Source organism: Homo sapiens, chromosome 3 (assembly GCF_000001405.40).
Source record: "Homo sapiens chromosome 3, GRCh38.p14 Primary Assembly".
NCBI lineage: Eukaryota > Metazoa > Chordata > Mammalia > Primates > Hominidae > Homo > Homo sapiens.
This window is the reverse complement of record NC_000003.12, coordinates 104,278,275-104,287,574: the sequence shown is the minus strand read 5'-3', so window position 1 is coordinate 104,287,574 and position 9,300 is coordinate 104,278,275. Positions and strand designations below refer to the sequence as shown.

At 39.7% G+C, this 9,300-nt stretch overlaps 1 long non-coding RNA gene across 1 annotated transcript; it reads left to right on the top strand.

Annotated features, from left to right (window-relative positions):
* The first annotated feature begins 397 nt into the window (after positions 1-397).
* LOC124909492 (uncharacterized) lies at positions 398-6,816 on the top strand. Its single transcript, XR_007096270.1, has 2 exons — positions 398-4,707; positions 5,544-6,816. It is a non-coding gene; the product is annotated as an uncharacterized LOC124909492 (long non-coding RNA).
* The last annotated feature ends 2,484 nt before the right edge of the window (positions 6,817-9,300 follow it).

Sequence of the window (9,300 nt, the reverse complement as noted above, 5' to 3'; positions counted from 1 at the left end):
GGCCAGGATGGTCTCAATCTCTTGACCTCATGATCCACCTGCCTCGGCCTCCCAAAGTGCTGGGATTACAGGCGTGAGCCACCATTCCCGGATTAGTTAGCTCTTATTGTTGGGAATAGGTCCCCAAGTGTGGCCATAAACTGGCCCCAAAAATGGCCATAAACAAAATCTCTGCAGCGCTGTGACATGTTCATGATGGCCAAGACACCCATGCTGAAGGTTGTGGGTTTACTGGAATGAAGGCAAGGATCACCTGGCCTACCCAGGGCAGAAAACTGCTTAAAGGCGTTCCTGAACCACAAACAATAGCATGAGCGATCTGTGCCTTAAGGACATGTTCCTGCTGCAGATAATTAGCCAAACCCATTCCTTTGTTTTGGCCCATCCCTTTGTTTCCCATAAGGAATACTTTTAGTTAATCTATAATCTATAGAAACAATGTTTAGCACTGGCTTGCTATCAATAAATATGCAGGTAAATCTCTGTTCAGGGCTCTCAGTTCTGAAGGCTGTAAGACCCTTGATTTCCCACTCCACACTCTATATTTCTGTGTGTATGTCTTTAATTCCTCTAGCGCCGCTGGTTAGGGTCTCCATGACTAAACTGGTCTCGACAAGTGTTACCCATATGTGGGGCTTGAACTCAGGTCAAAGGGTCACCAGAGCAATGGTTGGAGAATGTGGAACTAAGCTGGAGGACACCCAAGTACTCTTAAGCAATCCCTGTGGTGAGTAGAAGGGGAACTTGGAAGCATCAGGGTAACAATGGGACAACTGTGGGCTCTGGTTCCTTCCGCCCTGGAACCTTTACACACTGATGATGAGGACGAACAGAAGGGGTAACAGAGCAGGTTTGATTGCAAGCTAAAGCTAAAGCAGCAAAGGGGGAAGAGGTTCATCCATACCCTTCTGTACCCCTCCTTATTTTGAAGAAAAAGAGTGGCCTGACACTCTAGATCTTTCTTCTCTAGAGGACACTGGGTGAAAAGTAGTTGCCCCAGTGACTGTTTGAGCAGCACCTCGAGTGACCGCTCTCAGTTCTATGCAGGCAGGAATCCAGTAAGCTAGAAGAGAAGGTGATTTAGAGGCTTGGCAGTTCCCTGTTAGAATACACCCCTCAGATCAACAGGGAAATATCATAGCTACATTTGAGTCTTTTCCTTTTAAATTATTCAAAGAATTTAAACAAGCTATTAATCAATATGGATGAGGTTCTCCTTTTGTAATGGGAATGATAAAGAATGTTGCTGTCTCCAGTCAGATGATGCCAGTGGGGATGATAGGATTACTTCTAGGTAGATCTAGTTTAAATTTAAAAGGAGTGCAAGTACAAACAGGAGTCATCGATTCAGATTACAATGGGGAAATTCAAATTGTTATATCTACTTCTGTTCCATGGAAAGCAGAGCCAGGAGACCATATAGCACAGCTCTTGATTGTGCTATATGTGGAAATGGGGAAAAGTGAAATTAAACTAACAGAAGGATTTGGAAGTACAAATAAACAAGGCAAAGCAGCTTATTGGGTAAATCAAATTACTGATAAAGATCCTACCTGTGAAATAACTATTCAGGGAAAGAAGTTTAAAGGTTTGGTAGATACAGGAGCAGACGTTTCAACCATTTCTCTACAGCAATGGCTGTCCACCTGGCCAAGTCAACCCACTAAATTTAACACAGTTGGAGTTGGTAAAGCCCCTGAAGTACATCAAAGTAGTTATATTTTGCATTGTGAAGGGCCCGATGGAAAACCTGGGACTATTCATCCAATTGTAACTTCTGTACCTATAAATTTATGGGGAAGAGGTTTATTATAACAATGGGGAGCACAAGTTCTAATTCCAGAACAATTACATAGCCCTCAAAGTCAACATGTGATGCATGAAATGGGGTATGTCCCTGGTATGGGACTAGGAAAAAACTTGCAAGGTTTGAAGGAACCGCTTGAAGCAGGAAGACAAAGTTCCCACCAAGGTTTAGGATATCACTTTTGATGGTGGCCATTGTTAAGCCTCCAGAACCTATACCTTTAAAATGGTTAACAGATAAGCCAATTTGGATAGAACAATGGCTGCTAAGTAAAGAGAAACTGGAGGCTTTAGAGGACTTAGTTACTGAACAATTAGAAAAAGGACACATAGCTCCAACATTTCCCCCCTGGAATTCTCCAGTCTTTGTTATTAAGAAAAAATCAGGTAAATGGAGAATGCTAACTGACTTAAGAGCCATTCATTTAGTTATACAACCTATGGGGACATTACAGCCAAGATTGCCTTCTCCTGCTATGATTCCAAAAAATCGGCCTTTAATAGTCATAGATTTAAAAGACTGTTTCTTTACTATCCCCTTAGCTGAGCAAGACTGTGAACAGTTTGAATTTATAATTCCTGCAGTAAAAAACCTGCAGCCTGCTAAATGTTTTCACTGGAAAGTGTTGCCACAAGGCATGTTAAACAGTCCAGCAATTTGCCAGACTTATGTAGGGCAAGCAATTGAACCTACTCATAAAAAATTTTCACAGTGTTACATTATTCATTACATGGACAATATATTTTGTGCTGCCCTCACTTGAGAAATATTACCCCAATGTTATGATCACATGCAAAATTTGATTTCTCGTGCTGGTTTAATTATAGCTCCTGACAAAATTCAGACTACTACTCCTTACTCCTACTTGGGGACCTTATTAAATGACACTACCATTGTGCCACAGAAAGTAACCATACGTAGGGATCAACTAAAAACATTAAATGACTTTCAAAAATTGCTAGGGGACATTAATTGGAAATGATCTGCTCTAGGCATTCCTACCTATGCCATGAGTAATCTATTTTCTATTCTTAGAGGAGATCCTAGTCTCACTAGCCCTCGATAATTAACAAAGGAGGCTGAGGCAGAGTTACAGCTGATTGAAAAGCAAGTCCATAGAGCCCAAATAAATAGAATAGATCCAGAGAAGACTCTAGATTTGCTAATTTTTCCAACTTAGCATTCACCTACTGGTGTAACTGTAAAAGAGCAAGATCTTGTAGAGGGGCTTTTTCTTCCACATACTAATCCACGGACTCTAACTCCTTATTTGGATCAAATCGCTACTATGATAGGAAATGGGAGAACTCAGATTGTTAAATTACATGAATATGATCCTGGAAAAATTACTGTCCCTCTCACAAAGGCACAAATACAGCAAGCTTTTATAAATAGTCTTACTTGGCAAACCCATTTAGCTGACTTTGTGGGTATTCTCGATAATCATTTTCTTAAAACTGTTTCAATATTTGAAATTAACTAATTGGATCCTCCCTAGAATAACTAAATTTAAACCAATTGAAGGTGCTGAGAATGTTTTTACAGATGGGTCTAGTAATGGTAAAGCTTCTTATTCTGGATCAAAAGGTAAAATTTTTCAGATGCCCTATACTTCAGCTCAAAAAGCAGAGCTTGTAGCTGTAATTGACGTATTGAATGCTTATAAAATGCCTATTAATATGATTTCTGATTCTTCATATGTGGTTCATTCCACACAATTAATTGAAAATGCTCAGTTATGATTTCATACAGATGAACAACTGATGACTTTATTTACCCAATTGCAAACAGCAGTCAGGAGTAGAATGCACCCTTTTTACATCACTCACATTAGGGCTCATACACCTCTTCCAGGACCTTTGACTGCAGGGAATCAAATGGCTGATTGCCTAGTTGCTACTGTAATATCTAGCGCTAGACATTTTCACAATGTAACCCATGTTAATGCCTCTGGTCTCAAATGCAGATACAGCATTACCTGGAAAGAAGCTAAAGCTATTATCCAGGGATGCCCAACTTGGCAAATGGTGCATTCCTTATCTTTTACAGGAAGAGTTAATCCTCAAGGATTGGAACCTAATTCTCTTTGGCAAATGGCTGTCACACACGTTCCCTCATATGGGAGACTAGCTTATGTACATGTATGTGTGGACAACTTTTCTCACTTTTTCTGGACTACATGCCAATCAGGAGAGTCTTCTGCCTGTGTTAAACATCACCTTTTGCAGTGTTTTGTGGTGATGGGCATTCCAGCTTCTATTAAAACAGATAATGCCCTAGGCTATACTAGCCAAGCTCTAGCTACATTTTTCTCTATATGGAATATTAACACATTACTGGCATCCCATATAAGTCTCAAGGACAAGCTATAGTAGAAAGAATGCATCTCTCCATGAAACGGCAGTTGCAAAAGCAAAAGGAGAGAAACAGGGACTACGGGACACCCCAGACACCACTGAATCTAGCATTATTAACTTTAAATTTTTTGAGCCTGCCTAAAGACCAGATGTTATCAGCAGCTGAACAGCATCTACAGAAACCAGCTGCAAAGACAGAAGCAGAACAACTGGTTTGGTGGAGAGATCCAATAACAAAAAGTTGGGAAATAGGTAAAATAATTTTGGGTAGAGGTTATGCTTGCGTTTCTCCAGGCCAAAACAAGCAGCCAATTTGGATACCATCAAGACACCTGAAACCTTATCATGAGCCAGATGCCAAAGAAGAGATTCCGGGAGGATCCTGAGGACCCACCAGTTGCAGTCATGTCGAGACTGATGCTGAGGAGGACCCCAACTGTCATGAGCAACACCTGTCAAACACAGCCACCCACCTGGGGACAGATCAAGAAGCTGTCATAGATGGCAGAAGAAAACCTGAGGAAAGCAGGACAACCAGTCACAGTGAGTAATTTAATGATAGCTATGATAGTGGTGATCACCTTTGCCATGAGTATTCCTTCAACAAGGGCTGACATAGAGAACAATTATACTTATTGGGCATTTTTATCAATCTTGGCTAGCAATAATGCCTGGATGTAATCACTCTATGACACAGTTACACATGCTTTCTGATCTCAGTATTTACCATAATGAATCTGCTCCTATAATTGAGGCATACCACACTCAAAAACCTATTTGTAAACAGAATTGGACCTGGCCAGAAATAATGAAATTACTTGTTTGGGAAGATTGCATTGCAGAATAGGCCAAGGTGCTGTGCAACAATTCCTATGGAATCATTATTGATTGGTCCCCTAAGGGGATGTTTAGCTTAAACTGCACCCCTCAGTCTGCATGCCATGGCCACACTATGTTCAGCTGGTCTGAACAAAATGGTCAGATGGTAGAAATGGTAAGAAATATGACAAGAGTTCCGATTATCTGGAAACATGGTGGTATAGTGGCACCTCAACCTCAAATGATATGGCCCACTCTAGGAGCTAAACATAAGGATTTGTGGAAAATATTAATGGCTCTTAATAAGATCAAAATTTAGGAAAGAATAAAAAAGCATCTAGAAGGACACTGTACAAACTTGTCTTTGGATATTGCAAAATTAAAAGAACAAATATTTAAAGCATCCCAGGCACACCTGACCTTAATACCAGGAACTGGAGTGCTCGAAGCTCGAAGCTTCCAACTGTTTTTATCCATTGAAATGGATAAAAACAGTTGGAAGCTCTGTGATTTCAATGATGATTGTGTGTTATTAATCTGTGTCATTTGTTTTTGTATAGTCTGCAGATGCAGATCCTGACTCCTGCAAGAAGTAGCTCACTGTGACAAAGCCGCCTTTGCTTTTATTGCACTGAAAAAAAAGAAAAAGAAGGGGGACATGTTGGGAACAGGCCCTGAAATCTGGCCATAAACTGACCCCAAAACTGACCATAAACAAAACCTCTGCAGCACTGTGCCATGTTCGTGATGGCCATGATGCCCACGCTGAAGGTTCTGGGTTCACCAGAATGAGGGCAAGGAATACCTGGACCACCCAGGGTGGAAAACCACTTAAAGGTGTTCCAGAACCACAAACAATAGCATGAGCCATCTGTGCCTTAAGGACATGTTTCCACTGCAGATAATTAGTGGGAGCTAATTTCTTTTTTTCGGCCTATCCCTTTGTTTCCCATAAGGAATACTTTTAGTTAATCTATAATCTATAGAAACAATGTTTATCACTGGCTTGCTGTCAATAAATATGTGGGTAATTCTCTGTTTGAGGTTCTCAGCTCTGAAGGCTGTGAGACCCCTGATTTCCCACTCCACACTCTATATTTCTGTGTGTGTGTCTTAATTCCTGTAGTCCTGCTGTGTCCACAATTGAGCTGGTCTTGGCACTTATAGCTTTTTATTCTCCTATTTCCAGTTCTAAGTCTGCTATTGTGGCCTGATGCTGAAGAATGTTTGCCTTAAAGGCCTAGGAGGGCAATATTTTCCTCCAATATAACTTGATTCTATACCCTTGGGTTTCTTGATGTGTCTTAATTATTCCATGTAACCAGGAAATTTTATGTGCTTTTACTTTTTCTAAGAGCTGTGTATTCCCCTACTCAAGGTACTAATTGTCTTGTTTATGTTTTTCTATAATATGGTACGTTCTTCTGTAATGTGGCACATTCTTCTATAATATGGTGTGTGCTCATAACCTTAGATACACATTATTCCAATTTCTGACTAAATTAAAGTAACTTTTCATCAGGCTTGACTTCAGGTTCTCTAAATGGGCTTCCCATAAGAGAAGCAATCACACTGCAGGAGGTTTTTCTTTATATTTTAAAAGTTTTCCTAGGAAAACTGACTTGCATCTTATCAAAATGATTTTCTTTTTCCTGTTTTTTTTTTTTTTTTTTTTTATCAGGGCCTTTGATTAAGTGGTAAAACTGAGTGATCTCTGTTAAAGGTCTAAGGCTTGCTTGTTTTTTTTTCCCCCTAAACTATGTAACTTTCTCTAATTTCTTTTAAAGTCTTTTAGTTATCACCCTGGTGAAATAAATGACTGTTGTTTCATGATCACCTGTGGTCTTATTTTGATTAAGAGCTTTAAAATTTTTGATGTCTTTTACAAATTTCTTTAAAATCAAATTCTGAAACAAGTCGTTTTGTCTTTGAACTCACTTTGGAAAGTTTCAGACGGCTCTGAAACTTCTCAAAGGATCTATGAAAGGGATATATTAAACTAATTAGGCTCACTTGGTATATTGAATTATATGAGAAGTCTTGGTAAAGAGTAAGGGATGTTAGATTTGTTTTAAGTTATATTTATGAGTATTATACTAACATGAATTTTCCAAAATTGTGTAAAATTCCCAATAATTTAATATGGTATTAGTAATAATTTAGATTGTTATGTTAAAATGTTGTATGCCACAGAGATAACCAAAGTTCTTGTTGATTTTTGATTATGGTGAGCTCTCATCATCAGATTTTTAATCTTTGTCATTCACACTTATTGCTTTCATTTTTTTGTAATTCTGCAGATTTATGTAGAATACTCTAACAAGCACTTCTGAATACTAACTTATGATAATTTTAAGAGCAACGAACAATCATAAGTCTTCATTTGGGAAATGAAAACTTAAAACACTATAAGCAGCAATGAGGATATTTTGTCTACTAAAGAACACATTTACAAAAGGATTCCTTCCAACCTGGAAAGAAAAGCTCATTAAAGGAGTTATTAAGAAATTGTTTTAGGCAGACAGAGAGGGTAAAAAGACTCCTTGGTAAGGCTTTTTCTTTTAATAAAAACAGCTCTTGAAACATTTCTTTTCTAACAGAAAATCAGCTTGAAAAGACTCTACTTTCACTTTCATTTCCAAGGCTTCTCATCCTCAGGTTTATTCTCTCAAAGAACTATCAAAAATCCTGGCATTTGTCAGCTGATTAATGAGTCACAAACGCTAGCCACTGGTCTTAAAGATTCAGATGTAAGGCTTGCTGAGGAAGACTTAGTCAATGCCATAGTGCCTTCAGGGTGCTAGGAATGAATGTTGGCTCTGTCCTAACAGGTCTCTTTTCATGGATAAAACTTAGCCATCAAGTTAGGCTGGGAAATGTTCTAAGGCAAATGAGAATTTCTGGCCAGGGCATGCTCTGGTGTTATTCAGAGGTTTCTGGACTGGACTCAGCCTCCAACAGCCCACTCTGGGTGTTGTTAAAGAATCCTCAGCTATCCTGTCACAAAATTTTCCTTATTTTTCTATCCACGGTCTCTTACTCTCTCTGTGCATTGAATGTGTGGGAGTTTTTATAGCCTAGGGAAGTAATCCTATTTGACAAGATCAGGGATTATCATAGTAACCCAGGATATAGCTCAAGGGAAGGCATCTTTGTGATTTTCTAGGAACAGGATTTCTGCCACCCTCACCCCCTCAACAGTCTCTCTCTCTCTCTCTGTCTCTCTCTCTCTCTCTCTCAGTCTAGAGAATACATGGTATTGCCATGTTTCTCTCTGCCCTTGGTCTGGACAGCACATGACATTTCCAGGTCTCTCTCTGCCCTTGGCCTGGAGAGCACATGGCATGTCAAGGTCACTCTGTCTAGAGAACACATGGTGTTTTAAGGTCAACAGGGCCACCTAATGAAAATAGAAATACTCCTCATAGGACACATTGTTGGTTCTCTGTGGTACATTACACATACACAATTTTCCGTTTTTGCGCTTATCTACTGAAAACTAGGTTTTATGCTACTTTTGTGAATGGAAACACTCTGCTTTCAATTATTAGAATTAAAATGTCCTTCACAGCCAAATTTTAGTCCCGATACTGTCCCATCAGCAAGAAAATCAACATTAGGTCCCCGCATCCCTTTAAGGCACCTATTCTGTCTCCCCTTACTAATTAGTAAGGGGATTTTTAAGCCCAGAAGTAAACTGGAACCATTTTTCTAAGTTTAAACACTTTGGCATGGGCCATAATGGGAGGCAATCTAGCATATCCCCTCCATTAAAGGAGTCTTGCCTTTTATATAGTCTTTCCCAAGATCCTTTATTTTTTTTGTTTTTTTTGGGGGGAGAGGGAGGCACACAGGTCACACAAGTCTACAAAGTCAAAGGGAGATAATAGACAGAGGACTAGGGCTACTTGGGTAAGTGTGACTATGCCCAGAAGTCTAATTTCTTGGTTCCATGACTTGGAGGGTCATGCCTACAACGATGGGCAGCACATTTAACAGGGTCCCAAGACCCAGGAACCAGGGTGGAAAAATGGCCGGGGGGACACCATCACTGTTTTCTTCTCCACCCTGGGTCACATGTGGAAGGGAAGGAGACCAAAGGGACGATTTCTCTCACTTCTATTTCTAGATGGGTAACAGATTATCTTCAGCTTGCACCCCTCTGGAGTGCACTCTGAAACACTGGAACTTTCTTAATCTCAGGACTTTGAAGAAAAAAACACTCACTTTCTTTTGCACAAGGGCATGACATTTTTACTAAATCTTTGCTAATGTAAGATCAATCAACCCAGCTTTGTATAGTAATCATTTTGGGCA